The sequence below is a fragment of the Homo sapiens genome, chromosome 6, assembly GCF_000001405.40.
Source record: "Homo sapiens chromosome 6, GRCh38.p14 Primary Assembly".
NCBI lineage: Eukaryota > Metazoa > Chordata > Mammalia > Primates > Hominidae > Homo > Homo sapiens.
In genome coordinates this window covers 117357462-117383271 of record NC_000006.12, presented here as the reverse complement: position 1 = coordinate 117383271, position 25810 = coordinate 117357462, and the positions used below count along the sequence as shown (strand labels likewise).

The window sequence follows — 25810 nt, the reverse complement described above, 5'->3', positions numbered from 1 at the left end:
TATATTTATGATAATACTTTCTCTCGCTTATTGTGAGTACTTAAAGCAGACTCCTAAAGGAAATAGTGTTTTGGTAAGATCTTGGTTTAACCAAGTTTTCTGTTATTTGAAAAAAAAGCGCCTTATTTGATGGTCACAATTGAAAGCCTTATTTGATGGTGATAAGTGATTATGTAAGTTCAAATGCACTATGGAGATTTTTTTTGTTTACTTTATTTTGAGTGAACCCAACTTAAAAGTATTTTAATTTATAACTGTTTTTATAGTCTTAAGGACTTCTGTTGAATATTTTAGAAGCTTTGAATCAGGTGGTGACTAGGCATTTTACTATTTTCAATCAGTTTTGGGCACTGACTGTTTTAAAAACTGTTTCTAAAAACTAGGCAAATGATTTCACTTCTCCGTGTTTCTTTCCTTATCTGAAAAATGGGACTGTTAACTATTATTCTACCTCCTAAGTTTTTTTTTATAAAGATTATATGAGAGTATTCATGAGGAGTGGGAATAGTTCCAGGTACAAAGTAAATGCTCCGTAGTTAAGCTCATATTATTATTACTCAACCTGCAAATACAGGAATGTTTCTAAAGCAAATGTTACTTTTACTTCCTCAGCTTTTACAAGCAATAACTATTTTTGTTGATTCTGTTTAGCTACCCACTAGGTATCCATCTAAGTTTCTAAATTTTAATTTTTTCTGACCATAATAGTGACATATTTCAACTGTGAAAAACTTGAAAATTGCAGAAATGCATTAAGAATAAATAAATTATTCACACCATTTCTACCTAATATATCCCTTAAGATTTTCTTATTTTAAGTCATTTTTTTCTGCAGAGATAAAATATACATAATACAGAATACCAGATGATTTTAAAAATGTATGTATATATATGAACTAATAGTTGAGTCACTTGATCTCCAATTCCAATAACATATATGGGCCATAATTCCTAGGATATTTAAAGAGACCTGATTTGCATTACATGGATTATAACACAGACATTTAAAAGAGATGGAAATTTATGTACCATATCCAAAGACAATCATTCTTGTCAAATAATAAAAAGGTCTCTTAATTCTATTTTGGAGTCACTTGAGTCTGAATACAAAGAAAGCATTTTTTTTTGTTTTTCAAAAAATATAATTGTTAGGGAAAAGCATTTTCATTTTTGTAAAAACATATTGATAATATTATCTCAAGAGTAACTTCTTCTCCACCTCAGGGACTTTGTCAGTAATCTTCCCAGTGTTCTGATATGGTTGTTTGAGTACTCTCACTAGCCAGGATAAAGCTCTGGTGTGACCTTGGGGACTTCCCCATAAATGAGTGAGTCATCTCAGCATGTTTGGGGGAAATTCATCCTTCTTACCCCTCTTTAAATCCCCCCTCCAAACGCTTATACACTGCAGATGGGGATGTAAATTAGTACAACCTCTATGGAAAACAGTGCAGAGATTTCTTAAAGAACTAATAGTATTTCTATCATTCGATCCAGCAATCCCACTACTGGGTATCTCCCCAAAGGAAAAGAAGTTATTATATCAAAAAGACACCTGCACACATATGTTTATGGCAGCACAATTTGCAATTGCAAAGATAGGGAACCAACCTAAGTGCCCATCAACTGATTAGTGGATGGATAAAGAAAATGTGGTATAAATACACCATAGAATACCACTCAGCCATAAAAAAAAGGAGGAAATAATGTCTTTTGCAGCAATTTGGATGGAGCTGGAGGCCATTATTCTAAGTAAAGTAACTCAGGAATGGCAAACCAAATACTATATGTTCTCACTTATAAGTGGGAGCTAAGCCATGGGTATGCAAAAGCATACAGAGTAATATAATAGACTTTGGAGACTCAGAAGGAGGGAGGGTGGAAGTTGGGTGGGGGATAAAAAAAACCCTACATATTGGGTACATTTTTACACTACTCAGGTGACTGGTGCACTGAAATCTCAGCCTTTACAGCTGTACAATTCATCCATGTGACCAAAAACTACCTGTACCCCAAAAAGCTATTGAAGTTAAAAATATATATATAATAAAAGCAAAAGAATGGAAATTAACCAAAAAAAAAAAAAAACAGTCCTCTGCAAATCCTCTCCCAGGTTGTCAAGTGCTGTTGTTGCTTTTGCAAATCTGTGTTCTGGTTCCATGGTTTGATGTCTAATCTATCTGACTCCCTTAGTGACAGTGGATGTTTTGAAGGCAATGCATTTTGCATCCAGCAAAGCTCTTCATCTCTCTCTTGTTCATTGATGTCATGTACAGATTTATTATGCAGTAATAATATATTTTGCAATCAGCCGACATAATGAAATACAGTCAGGCAATTATTTATAGAAAGGCCCAATTACTTGTGTGATAAAAAAAGAATGAACAAAGTAAGAGATTCTTCTAAGGTAAAAAGATACCTTTTGCCACATCTGATGAGCTCAACTCACAGCATATGGTACATTTTACCACAGAATTAAAATTTAGCATAAGGGTTTTAGTTTAGATCAGAGAGGTTTATATAAAAGGTATGGAGTACCCTCTGACTGTTTAAATATGAAGCTGCTGACTGCTGTGGAGGAATGGGATGATGACTCAACACCTGAATTTTACTTAGAGTTTGAATAGTTTGTTGTATTCCAGCAAAAAATTGTAGAATCTCCTTTTTAAAATAGATGAAATAGACTTAATTTGTAATGTAGAAACTCTAGTGTATCTCATTGTAAATAACCAAACAAGGTTAACCTGATTTCTTTTTAACTGAAAAAAAAAAATCAATAGATCTCTCTCAGCATGGAGCAAGGACATGATTCAACTCCTAAAAGGCTGAGAATTGCCAGAATACATTTTTACCTTCTGGAGAATAAGTTGGTTGAATTTTCCTGAAGATAGAAGGCTGTGATTTGTATGACAACCGAAGGGTTTTTGTCGTCATGTACCTTATAACTGTTTCTTTGTAGCAGGATAACTTTTCAGGAAGAATTTTTAGCTCTTGGATACCTTATTGTAGTCTTTTCACATCTTTCACTGGCTCATCATATTTGTTTAAATGCTGCTGTATCTTGCTGAAGATGTAGTCGTCAACTTTAATTCTATTGGTTATACCTCACAGCTTCTAGGTATGTTACAGGGAGATTGCACTGCTCCGAAATCAGGCTACTGGCAATCTTAGCTTATTTGAAAAATATTTGTAAAGCCAAAGAAAGCAAAAACAGGATCTTTGGATAGTAACTTCTATCTGTCTCATGGATTCTATGCCATATCTCATGGATTCTGTGCCATCAGGCCTCATCTAGATGACTGGATGTAAACTTAAGATATACATTGCAACAAGAAAGCAAAGAGTAGTAAGAAGTGGTTCTCATATGTCATCTGGAAATAGGGCTTTATATACACATTACTATTCAATTTTAATACATAAACATCCTTTGTGTATGATCTTTTTAAAGTGTATGAGAATGTTTTGGGTTGCAATTAATAGAAAATACAATTCAAAATGGTTTAAACCATTGGTGGCACGTTGGAATCACCTGAGAAGTTTTAAAGCATACTGGAGCCTAGGTTCCATCCCCAGAGATCATAATTAATAGAGTGCAGCCTGGGAATTGAGATTTTTAAAAAACTCCACAGATCATTGTAATATGCAGCTATGTTTGATAACAACAGGTTTAAACAACAACAAAATTCACTGGCTCATGTTGCTAAATAGGCCAGAGTTACCACTACCTTTAGGCAAGCTTGACACAGGCTCAACATTTCAGATTCAGTAACTCTGGAGTGTGACTGATAATTTATATTTGTTCCAAGCTTCCAGGTGATGCTGTTGCTGCAGGTCTGAGAATCATACTTTGATAATTACTGGAGCTAAGTATATAAAAGTGAATAATACACTCCTTGCCTTTTTGTAAAATTTTAGGACACCAGTGTTTATATCCAAATAACAGTAATAAGCATAATCATATAAGTTTTATAGTCAGAAAAAAGTAAAAATTACTGAATTTATTATTCCAAAGAGGATGTTAAAGAGAAATCTATAGCTTAAGTGTGACCTGTTCACAAAGTTATGCTTCAAACATGTATTTGGTTTATTTTCTTACCTTACTTTCTACTTAGGTAATTGCTCTAACTTTAGACCTCAGTGATGGGCTCCTGTATTGGTTGGTTCAAGACAGTCAATGTATTCACCTGTACACAGCTGTTCTTCGGGGACAGAGGTAAGTAGAGTCCCTCAAAGGCAATTGATTGAGAAGAAAACTTGTCAGTCATAAATGATAATGCATGGAAATTCATTTATTCCTTCAATAAACATTTTCTGGTTATCCACTGTGTTGCAGGCATTGGGCTTGTAGGGTAAAGAGGTTTGTAAATAACTAGTTACAGTAGAATATGGTAAGTGCTGTGATGGGGTATGAAGAGAGTACAGTATAGACACTCAGGAGAATGCTGCTTAAGAGCCCAGGAAGTGTATGGATAAGCTTTTCTGCTTCTTCACAAAATAGAGTATACATTATGGAGTGAAGGCAGAACTCTTCCTGTGATGTCTTAAATGAAAATTAGAGAGTGAAAGGGACCACATGAATTATCTCCTTGATCTGTGTCCTCAAGCTTATCCCCCTGTCCTGATCTTGTCGGTATCTCTACATCTTCCACATTAGCATTGTCAGATATTTTAAAAATAAATTTTACACTTTTATTTTAAAAAATTAGTTAAAATATACATAATGTGAAATATTCAGATCTTAAGTGTTCCATTACATCAGTTTAGACAAATGCATTTTGAGACACAGAACATATCCATCATCACAAAAAATTCCTGTGCCCCTTGCCAATCAATCTGCACCACTCCAGAAATATGTACTTTTTGTATCTGGCTTCTTTTACTTGGCATACAATCTTTTGCGATATATTCACTTTGTTATGTGTACTAGTTTTTCTTTTTTATTACTGAGTGGTATTCCATTGTGTGAAGATACCACTGTCTGTGTATCCATTCTATGCATGTCTTGATGGACATTTTAATTGCTTCCTAATTTTGGTTATTATGCATAAAACTGAATATTTGTATACAAGGCTTTTTGTGGATGTATACTTGGATAAATACCTAGGAGTAGAATTGCTGGGTGATAGGGTAGATAGATGTTTATATTCTTAAGTAATTGCCAGTTTTTCAAAATGTTTGTGCCATTTTACATTCCCATAAAAAATGTATGAAAATTGTGGTTCTTCCATATCCTCTCAACAGTTGGCTTTGACAATCTTTATTATATTCACCATTCTTTGGTGTGGGAAGCAGTAAATATTGTGATTTTAACCAGCACTTCCCTGATGACTATCAATTTTGATCACTTTTTCATTTGTTATCAGCCATTTATATATCTTCTTTTATGATATGCCTGTTCAAGTATTTTTCTCATTTTTAAATGAGTTGTCTTTTCATTATTGGGTTGTTCTGTATATAAGCACTTTGTCAAAATATGTGTTGTGAATATTTTGTCTCAGTGTTTAGTTTATCTGCTTATTTTCTTGGTGGTGTGCTTTGATGAGAAGAATTTCATTTCGATTAAGTCCAATTTATGCATTTTCTATATTCTGTGCTTTCTGTGTTTTCTACAAGAAATCTTAGCCTATCCCAAAGTTGTGAAGATTTTATACTCCATTTTTTCTAGAAGCTTTATCGTTTTAGCTTTCATGATTAGATCTATAATTCATCGTAAATTTATTTTGGGGTATGTTGTGAGATATGAGTTAAAGTTTTCTTTTTTTCCTTTCTGTAGGGATATCCAGTTGTTCTAGCGCCATTTGCTGAAGAGATTTTCTCTTTCTTTATTTAGTTGCTTTGGGACCTTTATTGAAAATAATTTGGGCCGGGCGTGGTGGCTCACGCCTGTAATCCCAGCACTTTGGGAGGCTGACATGGGTGGATAGCCTAAGGTCAGGAGTTCGAGACCAGCCTGACCAACGTGGTGAAACTCCGTCTCTACTAAAAATACAAAAACTAGCTGAGCGTGGTGATGGGCGCCTGTAATCCCAGCTACTCAGAAGGCTGAGGCATGAGAATCAATTGAACCGGGGAGGCAGAGGTTACAGTGAGCTGAGATCGCGCCATTGCACTCCAGCCTGGGCAACAAGAGTGAAACTCTGTCAAAATAATAATAATAATAATTTGACTGTGTATGTGTAGGTCTATTTCTGGACTCTCTGTTCTGTTCCTTTGATATATTTGTCTACTCTTTTTGCCAGTACTACATTGTCTTGATAACTGTAAATTCAGAGAAAAACTTGAAGACAGGCAAATTCAGTCCTTCTACTTTGCTTTGCTTTTCCAATATTTTTATTTTGGCTATACTTGATCTTTTGCCTTTCCAAATAGATTTTAAAATCATCTCACTAATTTCTAGAATAAATCCTGCTGGAATTTTGAATCTCTTTTCAGTTTAGGAAGAATGAATATCTCAAAATTTTGAATCTTCCAATCAATGAAAATGGTGTATCTCTCCATTTTTTTAGGTTTTCTTTGATTTCTCTCAGAAGTGTTTTATAGTTTTTAGTGTAGATGTCTAACATATCTTTTATTAGGTTAATGCCTAGGTATCTAATTTTTTTAATGCTTTATATATGTTACTTTTTAAAATTCCATTTTCTAAATGTTCATTACTAGTGTGGGAAAATACAATTGCTTTTTGTATATGACTTTGTATCTTATACATTTTTAAGTTAATTTATATGTCCTAGTAGATTTCTTCTAGAATACTTTAGTAAGAGTTATAGTAGTCTCAAAAATGACTTAGGAAGCATTCTCTCCTCAATTTTCTGAAAGCATTTGTATAGAATTGCTGTTAATTCTTCTTTAGTTTTGATAAAGTCCACAAGCTAATTCATCTGGACCTGGAGTTTTCTTTGTGGAAAATTATTTGATTACAAATTCAGCATCTTTTAAGGATATAAGGCTATTTATTTTTATTTCTTCTTGAGCCAGTTTGGTAATTCATGCTTTCAAGAATTTGTCATTTTGCATGAGTTTTCAAATTTTATAATATCCTCTTAATATCATTTTAATGTCTATAGGGTCTGTCGTGATATCCTTTTATACTTCTGCTATTGGTACATTTTTTTCTTGATCACTCCTGCTAAAAGTTTATGAGATTTATTTATCTTTTCAAATAATCTGTTTCTGGCATTATTGATTTTTTTCTGATTGTCCATTTTTTATTTCATTAACTTCTAATCTTATTATTTTCCCTTTTCTATTTATTTTAGGCATAATTTTCTGTTCTTTTTCTAGCTTTTTAGATTGAAAAGAAAGGTCATTGTTTTTGTATCATTCCACTCACTGGCATTTAAAACTATGAGTTTCTTTCAAGGTCTATATTAGTTGTATTCAACAAATTTTGGTATGTCTCCAACTATGATTGTTGATTTGCCTATTGTTCTTTTTGGTTAATGTATTTGGGTGCTTTATATTTAGTATATTGATTATCTATATACTTAATTATATTGCCTTTTTATCATTATAAAATACTCCTATTCATCTATGCTAATATTCTTCATCTTAAAGATTCCTTTGTCTGATATTACTATGGCCACATCAGCTTTCTTTTGCTTAGTGTTTGCATAGTACAGCTATTTCCATTTATTTACTTTTAAATTGTGTTGTTTACATTTATTGTATTGTTTTATTGTTGGTTTTAAATTTTTTATTTTAGTTTAAGGGGTACATGTGCAGGTAGGTTCTATAGATAGTGTGTCCTGGGGGTTTGGGGTACAGATTGTTACCCAGGTAACAAGCATATTACCCAATAGGTAGGTTTTCTTTTTTTAAAAAATTTATTTAATTCAATAGGTTTTTGGGGAACAGGTGGTATTTGGTTACATGGATAAGTTCTTTAGTGGTGAATTCTGAAATTTTGGTAAACCCATCACCTGAGTGGTGTACACTGTACCCAGTGTGTAGTCTTTTATCCCTCACCCTCCTCCCACCCTTTACTCCAAATCCCCAAAGTCCATTGTATCATTCTTATGCCTTTGCATCCTCACAGCCTAACTCCCACTTATGAGTGAGAATGTACTTTTTGGTTTTCCATTCCTGGTTACTTCACTTAGAATAACGGTCTCCAATTCCATCCAGGTTGCTATGAATGCCATTATTTTGTTCTTTTTTATGGCTGAGTAGTATTCCATTATATATACACCACATTTTCTTTATTCAATAATTGATGGGCATTTGGACTGGTTCCATATTTTTGCAATCATGAATTGTGCTACTATAAACATGCATGTGCATGTATCTTTTTTGTATAATGACTTCTTTTCCTTGGGTGGATACCCAATAGTGGGACTGCTGGATCAAATGGTAGATCTACTTTTAGTTCTTGAAGGAATTTTCACACTGTTTTCCATAGTGGTTGTACTAGTTTACATTCCCATCAGCAGTGTAAGAGTGTTCCCTCTTCACCACATCCATGCCAACATCTATTATTTGAGATGGTTTGCTTTTTTCTTGTTGATTTGTGTGAGTTCCTTGTAGTTTCTGGATATTAGTCCTTTGTCAAATACATAGTTTGTGAATATTTTCTCCCACTCTGTGGGTTGTCTGTTTACTCTGCTGATTATTTTGCTGTGCAGAAGCTTTTTAGTTTAATTAAATTCCATCTATTTATCTTTGTTTTTGTTGCATTTGATTTTGGGTTCTTTGTCATGAAGTCTTTGCCTAAGCCAATGTCTAGAAGGGTTTCTTCGATGTTATCTTCTAGAATTGTTAAGGTTTTAGGTCTTAGATTTAAGTCTTTGATCCATCTTGAGTTGATTTTTGTATAAGGCAAGAGATGAGGATCCAGTTTCATTCTTCTACATGTGGCTTTCCAATTATCCCAGCACCATTTGTTGAATAGGGTATCCTTTCCCTACTTTAGTTTTTGTTTGCTTTGTCGAAGATCAGTTGGCTTTATTTCTGGGTTCTCTATTTTGTTACTTTGATATGTGTGTCTATTTTTATACAAGTACCATACTGTTTTGGTGACTATAGCCTTATAGTACAGTTTGAAGTCAGGTAATGTGATGCCTCCAGATTTGTTCTTTTTGCTTAGTCTTGCTTTGGCTATATGGGCTCTTTTTTGGTTCCACATGCATTTTAGGATTGTTCTCTCTTGTTCTGTGAAGAATGATGCTGGTATTTCAATGGGAATTACATTGAATTTGTAGATTGCTTTTGGCAGTATGGTCATTTTCACAATAGTGATTCTACCCATCCATGAGCATGGGATGTGTTTCCATTTGTTTGTATCATCTATGATTTCTTTCAGCAGTATTGTGTAGTTTTGTAGAAGTCTTTTATCTTCTTAGGTACATTTGTGAGTATATTTTTGCAGCTATTGTAAAAGGGGTTGAATTATTGATTTGATTCTCAGCTTGGTCGCTGTTGGTATATAGCAGTGCTGAGAGGTGACAACGTGCTAGCAGCCCTCGCTCACTCTCAGCACCTCTTTGGCCTTGATGTCTGCTCTGGCCATGCTTGAGGAGCCCTTCAGGCTGCCGCTGCACTGTGGTAGCCCCTCTCTGGGCTGGCTGAGGCTGAAGCCAGCTCCCTCTGCTTGTGCGGAGGTGTGGAGGGAGAGACGCAGGTGGGAACCAGGGCTACGTGTGGTGGTCGCAGGCCAGCACGAGTTCTGGGTGGGTGCGGGCTTGGCGGGCCCCGCACTCAGAGCGGCTGGCCAGTGCCACCAGCCCCGGGCAGTGAGGGGCTTAGCATCCAGGCCAGCAGCTGTGGAGAGGGGCACCAGGTCCCCCAGCACTGCTGGCCTGCCCGCGCCATGCTCGAATTCTCGCCGGGCCTCAGCGCCTCCCTGCGGGGCAAGGCTCGGGACCTGCATCCTGCCATGCCCAAGTCCCCCCGTGGTGGGCTTCCGCGCAGCCCGAGCCTCCCTGATGGGTGCCGCCCCCTGCTCCGTGGCGCCCGATCCCATTGACCGCCCAAGGGCTGAGGAGTGCAGGCGCATGGTGTAGGACTGGCGGGCAGCTCCACCCACGGCCCTGGCACAGGATCCACTAGGCGAAGCCAGATGGGCTCCTGAGTCAGGTGGAGACTTGGAGAACTTTTATGTCTAGCTGGAGGATTGTATATGCACCAATCAGCACTCTGTGTCTAGCTCAGGGTTCATGGATGCACCAATCAGCACTCTGTATCTAGCTAATCTGGTAGGGACTTGGAGAACTTTTATGTCTAGCTAAAGGATTGCAAATACACCAATCAGCACTCTGTGTTTAGCTCAGGTATTGTAAACGCACCAAGCAGCACCCTATCAAAACGGACCAATCAGCTCTCTGTAAAATGGACCAATCAGCTCTCTGTAAAATGGGCCAATCAGCAGAATGTGGGTGGGGCCAGATAAGGGAATAAAAGCAGGCTGCCCAAGCCAGCTGTGGCAACCCGAATGGATCCTTTTCCACAGTGTAGAAGCTTTGTTCTTTTGCTCTTTGTGATAAGTGTGGCTGCTGCTTACTTTTTGGCTCCACACTGCGTTTATGAGCTGTAACACTTACCCTGAAGGTCTACAGCTTCACTCCTGAGGCCAGTGAGACCACGAACCCAGTGAGAGGAATGAGCGACTCCAGATGCGCCACCTTAAGAGCTGTAACACTCACCACGAAGGTCTGCAGCTTCACTCCTGAAGCCAGAGAGACCACGAACCCACCAGAAGGAAGAAACTCCAAACACATCCGAACATCAGAAGGAACAAACTCTGGACACACCACCTTTAAGAACTGTAACGCTCACCACGAGGGTCTGTGGTTTCATTCTTGAAGTCAGTCAGAAAAAGAACCCACCAGTTCCGGAAACAGTGCTATTGTTTTGTGTACATTAATTTTGTATTCTGAAAGTTTACTGAATTAATTTGTCAGTATTAGGAGCTTTATGGAGAAGTATTTAGGGTTTTCTAGATATATGATCATGTTATCAGCAAACAGTGATAGTATGACTTCCTCTTTACTGATTTGGATGCCCTTTCTTTCTTTTTGTTGTCTGCTTGCTCTGGCTAGGACTTCCAGTACTATGTTGAACAGGACTGGTGTGACTGGGCATCCTTGTCTTGTTCCAGTTCTCAGAGGGAATGCTTTCAGCTTTTCTCTATTCAGTGTAATGTTGGCCATGCGTTTGTCATAGATGGCTTTTATTACATTAAGATATGCCCCTTCTATGCCTGTGTTGCTGAGGTTTTAATCATAAAGGATGCTGAAGTTTGGGGGCTATAGAGCCCCCAAGAGAGTATGTCCTTTGTCTTCAGCTACCAGGATTGGTAGAGAAAGACCCTCAGTTGGGGCAGGGTTAGGCATGTCTGAGCTCAGGCTCTCCTTGGGCGGAGCTTGCTGTGTGTGGCTGCTGTAGGGGATGGGGGTGTAGTTCTCAGGCTGATGGAGTTATGTTCCCAGGGATATTATGGCTGACTTTACTGCATTATACAGGCCACCAGGGGAGTGGGGAAAAGCCAGCAGTGACCGGCCTCGCCCAACTCCCACACAGCCTGAAAGGCCAGTCTCACTCCCACCATGTCTCCCATGCAGCCAGTGAGTAGGACTAAGAACTTGCCGCAGGTTACAAGCCTCCCTGCTGAAAAAGCAAGTAGGGCTTTCAGGTTTCATACCTCCCACCTGTCATGGTTTCTGTGTTCATATCTGCACTCCCTATTTGCCCCCTTTCCCAGGTTCTGTCCAGGAAACTGTATTCGGTTTAAATTTTTACAAAGTTCAGCTGGAACTTTTCTTCTTCCTATGGTCTTTCTCCAGTTACACTGGCAGCCCTCCCCAAGGATCTCTGCAAGACAAAGTCAGGAATGGTTTCCCTGGGGACTGCAAGTGCCCACAGGGCTCGTCCTGCTGCTTCCTCTACCCCTATATTTTGCTTGGCTGTAAATTTGCCTCAGCTGCATGTGAGGTCAAATCCTTCTCCCATGATCTGGACCTTCAGGTTTTCCACAGAGGATGTGTGTTCGGGGGTGGACACTCCCCATATCACACTTTGGGCACTCAGTTTTTTGGCTATCTCACAAAGCCTACAGCAGCAAGCCTCTTCCTTCAAAGCGTCTGTGGATTCTCTCGGCTTTCCTGGTATGTTCCTGTGGTAGTTCTTGGAGCAAAAGTTCATGATGTGAGTCTCCACATGCCGCTCTGTCCATCTGAATGGGAGCTGCAAGTTAGTCCTTGCCTCCTATTCACTATTTTGGGAACTGATCTGAGTCTTTACATTTAAAGTGCCTTTCTTGTAAACAACATACAGGATGTTGCTTTTTTACACAATCTAACAACTTCTGCATTTTAATTACGGCATTTGGTTCATTTACACTTAATATAATTATCAATATGTTTGGATTTAAGTCTACTGTCTTGACATGTGACTTCCATTTGTGTCTCAGCTCCTTGTTCCTCTGTTTCTACTTCTTTGCCATTTTTGTGGGTGAATAAAATAATTTTTAGTATTCCATTTTATCTCCTCTAATGACATTTTAAGTATGTCTATTTATTTTTTTAGGTTGCATTAGAAATTAAAATATGCATTTTTTTACATGATACATCTTCAACTTATCAAGTCAATATCCAAATATATCCTTCATAAATGATTTAAAACTTTATATATGTTTAATTTTTACCATCCTACTCTTAGTGTTCTTCGTGTCATATGTTTTACTTCTACTTGTTTAAATATCCAATAATTTAAAAATATTTAACTAATAGTTTTTAAGGGAGAAGTTACACATCTAAAATTAAAATATAGGTTATAAAGTCATTAGAACCCAAAATTTAGAGGGAGAATTTAGAGATCATTTTATTTCATAGATGAGGACACTGAGGTCCAGAGATATTCACACATTTTCCTAATATCACATTGTTAATCAGAGGAATGGTCAGGAAGTGATTAAAGTAAAGCAAAATATCATATACTCTAAAGGTAAAGATTTCTGGTATTAGGTTCTTGGGTCCCCAAAGGGTTCATAGAAGGCTTTAGGATGTGTCAGTGCTCTGCAATTGAGGATTCATATCTTTCATCAAAATTCCAAAAAAGTCTCCTAAAGTTCAATAACTATTTTATGAAGACAATGCTGACAATATTTTTAGAATAAAAATTCCTTTTTTTGGTAAGTAGAAAAACTCCAAGTCATGGAGACCCTGAAAAAGGAGTGTATGTATGTGTATATTTATCTATCTATAGATATAGATTTATACACATACATCCATATGCATTCATATGTATATATCCATATATATCCACATACATTCATATCCATATACACATCCGTATGTACATATATGTATATACATATGTGTATATGCATGTACATATACATATATATGGATGTGTATATATATGTGTATGCACGTGGATGCATGTAGATAGATATTTATGTATATATCCATATATATACACACACACACATAATGCCTATAAGCACATAAACACAACAAATCTGATTGATCAATTACTTCATATCAAGTATGGCAGACAGCTCTGGCTAGTTTCCTACCTGTGAATCAGAGAAAACTGATTATTCCTTTCCTTAGGAACTTAAGGTACTGACAATCTGATTGCCAAAACAAGCTGTCTAAAGTGAGACATAGACAATGTTCAAAGCAACAGTGTCCTGAAGGATCATAGTCCATTCTCTGCATTCTCTGTGTCTGTATATGCCAGAGAGCTGGTTTCTTTTTTTTTTTGAGATGGAGTCTCGCTCTGTCGCCCAGGCTGGTGCAGTGGCGCGATCTCGGCTCACTGCAAGCTCCGCCTCCCGGGTTCATGCCATTCTCCTGCCTCAGCCTCCTGAGTAGCTGGGACTACAGGCGCCCGCCAACACGCCCGGCTAATTTTTTGTATTTTTTAGTAGAGACGGTGTTTCACCATGTTAGCCAGGGAGAGCTGGTTTCTTTAAGAGTCTAGCTCCTCGAGCATCCACAGACTCAATATAAAGTAGAGGAAGGAAGTTCCTTCTTAAAAAATGTATTTCCTCATTTCAAGTTTAGTAATGTTTTCTTGTATGTATGTACAGTGGAGCATAGCAGCTCCCAGTGAGATAACAAAGGGCAGGTACTTTTGCCTTCCAAGTAAGTCTTGCCTTTTAAACCTATCAGGAAAAAAAGAAGTTTTATATATAGAGATTGGGATTCCAGAGTCATCTTATAAGGAGAAAGTATTTTCTAACATATAATCAAAATTCCTTCCCTTTAGTTTAGATCAGCTTTGTCCAATACAAATATAATGCAAGTCACATATGTAATTATAAATATTCTAGTTGGCTCATTAAAAAAAGTAAAAACAAGTAAACGTAACTTTAATAGTATATTTTAATATTTTGATAACATATCAAAATGTCACTTCAACATGCAATCTGAATAAAAATTATAAAGTTATTTTATATTCTTTTTTTCACATTAATTCTTGGACGTTCTGTTTGTATTTTACATTTATAGCATAGCTTAATTTGCAAACTAAGTTTTCATAGAAAATATTTGATCTGTATTTAGATTTCATAAAATTTACAGGCAAAATAGTTGATTTACATACTTGTTCTAAAATACTCAAAAATATTTTAATATATTATACGTGATTCATAATATATGAATCAAATATTAGTTTTAAAATTTACCACAAGTTAATTAAAACTAAATAACATTAAACTTTTGGTTCCTCGGTCATACTAACCACATTTCAAGGGCTCCGTAGTCACATGTAGCTAGTTGCTGCTGCACTGAGCAGTACGGCTCTAGTCTGTAGTAGAGATGAGATAAACTGATTGCTGTCACTCATCATATTCCGAACTTGAGAATTGTAATTGAATTGCCCCTCAAACTACTCTTCCCTCTCCTATGTACATCCATTCCCTTTAGTTTATACAAGAGTAAACCTATTTGAGGTACTGTGAAATTCTCAAAACAAAACTTTATTTATATTTTTCTAAAGAGAGAAAAGTGAATGCTTTAAAATGATTTATAGAAATCACTAAAAAAAAAATCAAACTATCACTCCAAAATGCTGAGGATAACTGAGATAGTTCTTTTTTTGAGTACTAAACAACTGTTACAACTTCAGAAACAACCAAGCAGATTTTTCAAGCAAAAATAATTGCAAAATTTCCTTCCATTGAGGGGAAAAAAACCTCTAAACACAATTTAAAGTTTTTTACTTGAATTTCCTAGTCTGAAAAGGAGCACTTTGATCAAACTATAGAAACTGATACACATTGAAATAACATACAGTTGTGAGTAGTATAAAGTGAAGGACCCAGCAGGCTAGGATAATAAATGGCAGGTAAATCAGATGACTAACCAAGAGTAGGAGGAAGGCGTGGTTCAATGGGGAGAAAAAATTCAACAGACCATGCCTTCGGGATTGATTTTCCCTGTTTATCTTGTTATGCCTGGCTGTTCATTTTGGGGTGGTGGGGTCATGGAATTGATTTTTTTAAATCAATCTTTTTATTTCTTGAGAAAACTATGATGAAATGAGATCAGCTTCACCCAGATGCAGATTTATTAGTGTTATACCCACATTTAATAGATGGTTCAATGAGAGGTTAAATTATTTGCCTGAAGTCAAACATTTAATAATTGGCTGAGCTGGGGTTCCATGCAGTTCTATCTGTTTCTGAAGAATCCCCTACATTGCAAATTCATTAATTCCCAGTGGGGCCTAGTCTCATTCAGAAATGAGAATAGTCATGTGGGCATGCAGGCCATGCCTTCTTGGCATCACGTGAACTGGGTTAGATGTGAGGTGGTTGCTTTAAGAACAAGGAATCTGAGTGAGGGTTGTTGGATAGACTAGAAGGGTGCCCACACAGGCCAGTGTCAGAGCAGTGATGAACTCTGCTCATAACAGAGTTATTCTGTGTGCCTAGGTACTGGAGTCCTCATGGCTACCACATTTAAGAGCTGTCATTCCTGTCAATTCTGGATAAATGCTTGGAAATTCTTGCTCTTTGGGTGTGTCTTTTTTTCAAATCCCTCAATGCAATAGGCTTTCCTTTTTAAAGGAACATGTACCTGAATCCTAACTTGCTGTCTCCATCATGATTTATTGCATTGGCTGGTCCCAAAGCCCTTCTGCTTCACATCCGTAGGCTAACTTCACATCTATAGGCTAATTTATTGCATTGATTGGTCCCAAAGCCCTTCTGCTTCACCTCTACATATGGCAAATTTATACTTCAGGCATTGGTTTTTACGGGTTTCATTTCTGGATGATTACCTTATTTCCAGGTCCTGTAAGAACCTTGCCTCATGTCTTTCTTATGCTAATGCAAGAGTTGTAGGAGCACATAGAATAAACCAAAGATGTAATCTCTGAACTAATGAAGTAATGAGAATCCAGGTTGTGCCTTTGTTGTAGAGTATTACCAAAATCACAAGCATTTTTTAAAAAGCTGCAACCTATCTAAACACCCTTGATATTGCAATATCACATTAATAAGAAAAGCCCCCAGAGAGCACAGTGCTCATGCCTGTGATCCCAGCACTTTGGGAAGCCGAGGCAGTCAGATCACTTGAGGTCAGAAGTTCAAGACCAGCCTGGCCAACATGTGAAACCCTGACTCAACTAAAAATACAAAAAATTAGCCAGGCTTAGTGGTGTGTGCATATAATCCCAGCTACTTGGGAGGGTGAAACAGGAGAGTATCTTGAAGCTGGAAGGCAGAGGTTGCAGCGAACTGTGATCATGCCACTGCACTCCAGCTTGGGCAACAGAGTGAGACTCCATCTCAAAGAAACAAGGAAAGCCCCCAGAAAATTTACTTTAGGTCTACTACTTTTAAAAATGTAAAATAAAAACCCAACTTAATATGAAACAAAAAAAGACAATAATCGTTAGAAAGTATTTTCTTTATTTTAATGTACACAAATGCGTACAGATACTCACAAACATATATTCTCATGACTACTTGCATGGACCAGCCCTTCCACCACTCCAGAAACACACACTAATTGGTGTTATGTTTTAGCAGCACTGGGGATACCACCATCACAGAATTTGCAGCCTGGAGTACTTCTGAAATTTCCCAGAATGCACTGATGTACTATAGTGGTCGGCTGTTCTGGATCAATGGCTTTAGGATTATCACAACTCAAGAAATAGGTCAGAAAACCAGTGTCTCTGTTTTGGAACCAGCCAGATTTAATCAGTTCACAATTATTCAGACATCCCTTAAGCCCCTGCCAGGTACAGTATTTCATTCCTGCTTACCCTACTCCACTATACCTTCAGTTAAATAAATGTTTAGGTTGGGATATTTTTTTTTCTTAAGAATTAAGTTTTAAGAGGAGTAAGGTTTCAGTAATTTCAATTGGTTTGCTTGCAGTGAGTTTAATCTTAACCCAAATTTACAGCCTGAAAAAGTCAGAAAAAGATGATTTTTTTCAGGATATGTTAAAGAAAAGAAAAATTTTGTTTCAGTTCTAATTATTAGTAATTGCTATTGATTTTCTATGATTTCTATATTGGTCAATAATCCCCATTTTTTTCTCCTATTTCTTTTTTTTGTTTCATCCTGTAGGGAACTTTTCCTTTACCCCTAAGGTTATTCCAGATTCTGTTCAAGAGTCTTCATTTAGGATTGAAGGAAATGCTTCAAGTTTTCAAATCCTGTGGAATGGTCCCCCTGCGGTAGACTGGGGTGTAGTTTTCTACAGTGTAGAATTTAGTGCTCATTCTAAGGTATGGTGTTGGTTCTAGTAACTTTCATTTCCCAAACAGACTGTACCATCTGTGTCAGCCTTGCCCACACTGACCTGTATCATCTTGACTTAGCCAAGCCCATCTTCTTTGTCATTCCCATAGCATTTGGTCATTAAGATTATTCCCCAGAAGACTTGTTTGCAGCCAGTCTCTGACTGCTTGGTGCTAACTGCTGTGCTGGATACACTTTAACTGGTCTGTGTGGCACAACACAGAACTTGCCAAAATTAGCACTTCCAAAATTGCAAATTTTGATTTTACATGTGAACTAAAGTTTGGAGATTTTAGATAATAAGGAATGAAAGATTTTATAATTCTCTCCCTGAGAAAATAATGTTTTCTGTTTATATTTTAGTTCTTGGCTAGTGAACAACACTCTTTACCTGTATTTACTGTGGAAGGACTGGAACCTTATGCCTTATTTAATCTTTCTGTCACTCCTTATACCTACTGGGGAAAGGGCCCCAAAACATCTCTGTCACTTCGAGCACCTGAAACAGGTACAGGGGTTAAAATCTGTCTTTTTTCTTAAAAAAGCAGAATCTCACTTTTCATGATCTGGAATGGATAGTTGATATTTAAAAATAACTTTCAGTTTTATAGATGTGTTTAGATTCAATACCCTTTCAATGACTTTTTGGAGATTAGAATAGCGTCATTAACATAAATATGCATAATTTATTCCAAAAGAATATTTCAAAGATTTCTTAACAGCCATTTCATTTGATTGTAGTGATGTAGAAGATGCAGATGCATATTTCAGGTAATTTGCAAAATCCTTTATAAGGAAAATGGGCATTTAAGGGCAGAGACAGTTTTCTTGGAAGGCAGACTGTTCTCATAGATGGGAACTCAGAATCTTCTGTAGGTGAATAACTGATATCTAAATTTAATGTTTTGGGGAAAAGATATTTTAAAAAAGATACTAGCCATATCATTACATGTGTGTATCACCTTAAAGTGTACAAAACACATTTTTATGTATCACTCCTTTATTAACTATTTACTACATACCTATCATGTGTCAGAAACATCATTTCATTTGATCCTCACAGAGCTCTGAGGTGGGTAGGAAAGTCTTATTATCTTGATTATGCAAGAAAGAAAATGAAAGCCTAGTAGTTGCCCAAATAAAATAGTTACTAAGTGGCTGGGCTGGGACTTAATCTGGACTTTTCACTACAGTTTCATCAAATCTCCATTCAGTCACTTTTACAAATGTTGGTAAATGATAGTAATTTATGTAAAGCTAATACAGGATTTGGCAGGTGGTAAGAGCTTAATAAATATAGATATCCATTCTCCATTGCATTTTTTACTATTAAGATTATTTCAACAATATCCATCTACGAATTACACAACAGGAACATAGTGGGGCCTGGGCAGGTTCCGGAGCAGTTAGCATTGGATCCAGGAATGTTCTGCTTGAGATTTCCTTGGGATATCAGCTTGGTTGAATTGTCCTGTGGAAATGGACTTGACTGCATCCATCAGGGGATCCAGTGGGAGCAAGAGTCAACAGCACTCTGCTGGATATTGGAGAATAAGAAAGGATGACAAGATTTGGCCTTTGCCTTCAGGAAATTTACAATATAGCCAGGAAATTATCCAAATTGACCAATATTTATTAACCACTTACTGTATGCCAGTTCTGTACTAGATATGGGAAGATTTAACAAGGAATAAGAAGAGATGCTTTCTCTGATGGAGTTCATAAAACAGGAGGGAGATAAACACATGCACAGCAAATGATAATAGATACTAGAGAGTTATACCTGAGCAGCAGTGGCATAGAGTGAGTAGACAAGCCTATGAAACCTTCACCTATATCAAGCTGCCTCAGGCATTTTTAAGAGAGAAGGTGCCTTTGGGAAATGGAAACTTTAGTGCACTCTGAAAGATGGAGCAAGAAGAGGTATCCCATGTGAGAAGAGAAGCCTAATGTAAGAAGGCCTGGAGATTGAATAATAGTATGAGTGTTAAACATTAAATAGCAATGTGATTGGAATGAGGGAGGGAATGAAGACCTTGTGGAGGAGTCCTAAGAGAGGAGAGGGCCATCCAGAGAGAATGACTTAGAAATCAGGCAGAGACATTTCTCTTGATTAAAGGACTGAGAGATACTGAATTGCTTGGTTTGGCTCTAGAATAAATGAATACTCCCAAACCTTACTCTTGGGGTACGATCAGCCTCCCCTAAACTTTCTGCTTTCTAGGAACTTCAGAGTGACAGGGCCTAGGTCTCTGATTTATGCTGTGTTTTACAACCTGAACTGGCTGAAGGCTGGTGGGACTTACTGCCATCCATCCTGATGATGACATTTTCACCTTCACTGAAATCACTCTGTCAGGATAAAAGTGAATGTTGCATTTTACGGGGAGAACCAGACAGCTTCCATCTACACAAGGCACAGACAAGAAAGGTGTGCTTAAGTGGTAGTAGGAAGGATTTGAGTTGAACATAAGGAAGTCTTGCCTGTCAGTCAGATGTGCTGAAATTATCAGGATGGGTTCCTGAAGAAATCTATGGAATATTCTCTCCTGAAGATCTTTAAGAATGTAATAAATATACTGCAACTGCCTGGAATGAGAAATATTGTTAAGTTGTTTACAATCTTATTATAAGTGGTAAAAGTCTTATATTCTTTATATTCTTATATTCTTTTCTGCTCTACCTGTGCCTCTACTTTTCAGTTCCATCAGCACCAGAGAACCCCAGAATATTTATATTACCAAGTGGAAAATGCTGCAACAAGAATGAAGTTGTGGTGGAATTTAGGTGGAACAAACCTAAGCATGAAAATGGGGTGTTAACAAAATTTGAAATTTTCTACAATATATCCAATCAAAGTATTACAAACAAAACATGTGAAGACTGGATTGCTGTCAATGTCACTCCCTCAGTGATGTCTTTTCAACTTGAAGGCATGAGTCCCAGATGCTTTATTGCCTTCCAGGTATGAGAGAGAAAACAGAAGATATGAGAGTCTTAATAGCGGCATTGTGGGGAGAGGGAAAGACTATGTTTCTGGGATATGTTACAGTGTAAATGGCACACATACCTAGATTTTGATTGGCCACTATAGTTTTTTAAAATTATGTGAGAAAATTAATGGAGGTAATTCAGATAAGAGTGACTAAAGTAAACTGTTAAAGAAATGGAAAGTGGACCTTTTGAGGATTAATATGCAGGAATTCGTTTTTATTCCATTAAAGACGACTGCAGTTAAAAAAAAAAGTTTAAACAGAAGAATAATTAAAGGACTAGGTTAAGAATTCTGCCACCCTGTCAATAATTTAGGTATACTGTGATCAAAGAGGTCAAGTGGGCAGCAAAAGTAGAGAGGCAAGAGGGGATTGCTTGGGTGAAGGACACTTTCACAACTTTCTCACATTCAGGGAACTTTGCAAATTCAGAGTAAGTCATTCTTTTTCTTTTTGCTTTTCTTTTGAAGCTGTATCATGATTTTAATTTCTGTATGTTACACATTACTGATTTGTTTTACATTTTTTATTGATATATATTATAGTTGTACATACATTTGGGGTACATGTGTTATTTTGATAAACCATTATTTTTCAATAAAATCACTATAGGCCTTGCACCACTGTAGGTATTTTTGTATTCATTATCTCATTTGATCCTCATACTATAAAGAAAAAGTTAAGTCGTTGAGAGTATCAGTCAATTACCAAAGCTGCGTGGCTGGAAAGCACTGTGCTGTAATGCTTTCCACCATTTCTTTTTGGGGAAAATAACATCTTGGGGAGTGTTTTGGAGATTTGAGTTGTGTAGGGATTTGTTTTTCTTTTCATAAAATTCTAATTTAATAATTATTTTGATAATTTGTTGTCTACATATACTAATCAAATAAGTTATACATGAAAGTTAAAGATAGTACACGTTCCTATTTGGTAAAAATTAGGAGTGTTTTGGTAAAATAATATTCGGGTTAAGTGTGTCTATATATAGAATATATAGTATTTATATAGAATATATAATATAAATATGTATATAGATATATAGTTTCAAATTTTGGTCACCATGGAACCATGCAAAGTGATATGCATGGATATGTATGAGTTTCATTTAACACAGTTTTGTACAAAAGTAAACACTACTATATATATATATATGCACCATTATAAATCATACAGATAGTAATATATAAAATACAGTAAAATATGTTTAATACTAAAAGTATAATAAAAATAATACAATGTTTTGTTGATAAAGTACTTGGGGCTTTATATTTTGAGTCCACCATTATAGATGTCAATTTTCTTTGCAGGCTACTGTACATATGCAAGGTTTGGAAATGGAAATAATTTATTACATAATAGAAAATATCTAAGAAAAAAAATAAACTTTACTGTTAGAATGTGGCATGGCCCAATGGGAAAAAATGTATGTAGACCTCAGAAGACTTGGTTCTGATGCCAGTTTCTACATACGTCATTGTGCATGAGTTACTTACCTTTATTAGTATCCTGGTCCAGTTTCTACTCTTAGTAGTTGTGAAGATCAAAAGAGACAATGTATGTGAAACTGGTTTGAAATGCACAATCATTTTCAAATGTAAGATTTAATTATTTTTAAAAGTTACTCTTTCTAAAAAGTCTGGAAATTTAGTTTTTTGAAGCTTCTAGTTGTTGAATTCAAGAAAAATGGAAGTTTATCATAATTTGTACAGTTTTATTTCTGTTAAATGTTCTATGTAACTTAATTTTGAAAATAATGACCTTACTTTATTTAAAAATATTCAATTGATATATATATATTCAAGCTGTACAACATGACTTAATAAATGTATACATTGTGTAATTATCACAATTGAATTAATTAGACATTCATCACCATCCATGCTGTACATTAAATCCCCAGACATTTTTAGAAATTCATTTTTTAGCAAGAGAGATTTGTTCCAATTCTTGCACTTTTCTAGATTAAAAAATCTGTCAACATAAATATAGAGCAATATTTTTTCTCTTGGTGATTTATATTGCTGTATATTAATGTCAATAACTATTTGAAACTATTAATATTGTGTATCAGGAGTATGAAATGAAACATTTAGTAATCTCTCAGTCTCAGAACTTAATTGTTGCCACGGAGAACACTACTGAATGCAATTTTTGTTTCCTTTTCTTTAGGTTAGGGCCTTTACATCTAAGGGGCCAGGACCATATGCTGACGTTGTAAAGTCTACAACATCAGGTATTTGTTTTCTAAAATCTGTGCAAATAATAATTTAGAGGCGTGTGTGTGTGTGTGTGTGTGTGTGTCCCATTGGTGTCTTTAGGGATATGAACACTGTCTCTTTGCTAAAGTTTAGGTCAAAAACATGTTTTTGACCCCAACACACCACCAAAATATGTTTAAATAAACCTAGGGGTAGAGAGCCTACAAGGTTATCACTGAGAAAGATCTATTAGAGGAACCAAAGGGAGCCCATGGACTTCAAAACTGCCAGATATTAAATCGAGACTTTGCTAAGCTAAAGTCAGTTTTCTCATGCATATTATCTACATGTTTTTTTGCTTTCAGAAATCAACCCATTTCCTCACCTCATAACTCTTCTTGGTAACAAGATAGTTTTTTTAGATATGGATCAAAATCAAGTTGTGTGGACGTTTTCAGCAGAAAGAGTTATCAGTGCCGTTTGCTACACAGCTGATAATGAGATGGGATATTATGCTGAAGGGGACTCACTCTTTCTTCTGCACTTGCACAATCGCTCTAGCTCTGAGGTATTTCACTATGTAATTCTTCCGAAATAAAGGAAGTGAAGTATTTGCATATGACACTACTTTGTAGTTAAAATGACTGGAAAACGGTTTAGTCATTAAGATTAGAATGAAAAGGACAGATATTGTATAATTATTTAGCCACAAATGAATACAGACTACATTTTGGGCAAATGTCATTCAACACTCAGTTAGCAAATAGTTATTGGGTTTAGGATGCTGTGTTAGAGCCTGGGATATTATGGGTGAAAGTTTATAGGCTTTGCTCTTAATAAACCCAGTCTAGTATTAGTCCAACACTAGGAAGGCAGTATTGCCTAGTGATTAAGAAGGTGAGTTTTGGAATTTGACTACCTAGAATGCAATTTGGGCTCTACTACTTACTAGATTTGTGACCACTGGCAAGTTATTTAACCTCTGTGGTTAAGTAATACCTCATCATAGGGTTCCCATGAAGATTAAATGAGATAATCCATGTAATGCACTTAGCACAATGCCTGGCATGTGGTAGGCATTCACTAAATGTTAACTGATAGTGAAGACAGACTAGGATAACTGTTGTGCTGAGAGCAGGATGTGGTGGAATCACAGAGAATGAACACGTAGTCTAGGTTGGCTTGGTGGTGGTAGAATGGAAAAACATCTTGGAAACAAAGATGAGACAGGTGAAGGCTGAGGGGGTACAAAGACAGGAAAACAAAGAGCCATAGAGTGTTTGGATGAGAGTGGAGTGAAAGGAAGGTGGGAAATCTGGAGAGGTGGGAGCCTGAGCATAATGGGCCTCCTTTACTGTGCTAAGGAGACAGGTGTCATTCTAGAAGCCAACAGCAAGCCAGTAAAGATATTTAGTGGGTCATTAACATGGTCAAGTTGTGTTTTAGAAAGGCCTGTCTGTTAGCAGTGTGAATAGTGACTTAGAGAGGGTTAAGTCTGAGACAATTAGGAGGCTGTCACAGAAATCCAGGTAGAAAATGTTATGGGCCTGAGTGAGGGGATGAGCATGAGGTGAGAAAGGAGATGACAAACTGGACATTTAAAATGGGACTAGTTCAAGCTGCACACAGTGATTCACACCTGTAATCCCAACACTGTAGGAGGCCAAGGCAGGTGGATCACTGGATGCCGGGAATTCGATACCAGCCTGGCCAACATGGTGAAACCCTGTCTCTACTAAAAATATAAAAATTAGCTGGACGTGGTGGTGCGCACCTGTAGTCTCAGCCACTTGGGAGGCTGAGGCAGGAGAATCGTTTGAACCCAGGAGGCGAAGGTTTCAGTGAACCAAGATCATGCCACTGCACTCCAGCCTGGGTTACCGCCAGACTCCATCTCCAAAAAAAAAAGGGACTAGTTTACTATGGGTAGTAATGAGAAGAAGTCAAGGAGGACCATATTTGTCAGGATTAGCTCCTTGGGTGGTGTTGGAAATCCATAAAAATATAAAATGCAGGAGAAAAAGAGGTTTTGGGGTGGGTGATGAAGTCTGTTTTCTGGGATAATTCATATGGAAATGTTCAGTAGGCAGTTTGATATTTGAATCAGTGACTCATTAAAGATCTTGTCTGAAGATATAAATTTGTAGCACTGGTTTGTAGATTGCAGTTAAAGCCATGATAGTTAAAATCATTTAGGAAAAATGTGAGAACAGTGCCCATGTTACAATGGTATACCGTCCAGATTGCTGAGGTTTGGGATTACAAATGAGAAGTGCAGTAAACAAATGATATGGGTGAATATAGAAAAGTCTTCAAATAAAAAAATAACCACTCTCTTCTTGGCTGTGTTCTCTACCTGTTGTTAAGCTTTTCCAAGATTCACTGGTTTTTGATATCACAGTTATTACAATTGACTGGATTTCAAGGCACCTCTACTTTGCACTGAAAGAATCACAAAATGGAATGCAAGTATTTGATGTTGATCTTGAACACAAGGTGAAATATCCCAGAGAGGTGAAGATTCACAATAGGAATTCAACAATAATTTCTTTTTCTGTATATCCTCTTTTAAGGTATGTAAATGCAAGTATTTTTTTATATTGTGATGAAATAGATATAGACATATTTAATGTAATGTCTTTGGTTTAATAGTAGAAGACAATTATGGAAAAATAAGATGCTTAGGGCTCTTGGCCCACTATATTATAGTAAGTAGTTCTTCATATAAATTAGGAGGCACAACTACAAATATGTAAACTTAATGCATACTGACAATTTGACTAACAAAGTTAGGCTAATTACCTAAAAGGAAACAATAGCAGATTTTTATACTAGTGAATGCAATAACATCATCAGTTGGCAAGTACAAGAAGTGGATTGAGACAGTGGCAAGAGGTGAGCAGGAACAGATGGGC

The 25810-nt window shown here is 36.7% G+C and overlaps 1 protein-coding gene across 17 annotated transcripts in view; it reads left to right on the top strand.

Annotated features, from left to right (window-relative positions):
* The window catches only part of ROS1 (ROS proto-oncogene 1, receptor tyrosine kinase), a 138590-nt gene that overhangs the window by 42671 nt on the left and 70109 nt on the right, over positions 1–25810 (top strand). For 11 of the 17 annotated variants that reach the window (XM_017011172.2, XM_011536051.3, XM_011536053.3 and 8 more), the window contains 8 exons: positions 4113–4213; positions 16979–17196; positions 17531–17691; positions 18068–18212; positions 20407–20669; positions 22867–22930; positions 23261–23463; positions 25263–25468. In XM_017011172.2, the coding sequence (XP_016866661.1) occupies positions 4113–4213; positions 16979–17196; positions 17531–17691; positions 18068–18212; positions 20407–20669; positions 22867–22930; positions 23261–23463; positions 25263–25468 (1361 nt within the window). The remainder of the gene's footprint in view (positions 1–4112; positions 4214–16978; positions 17197–17530; positions 17692–18067; positions 18213–20406; positions 20670–22866; positions 22931–23260; positions 23464–25262; positions 25469–25810) is intronic. The other 6 variants (XM_017011173.2, NM_002944.3, NM_001378902.1 and 3 more) reach the window with 1 other exon arrangement.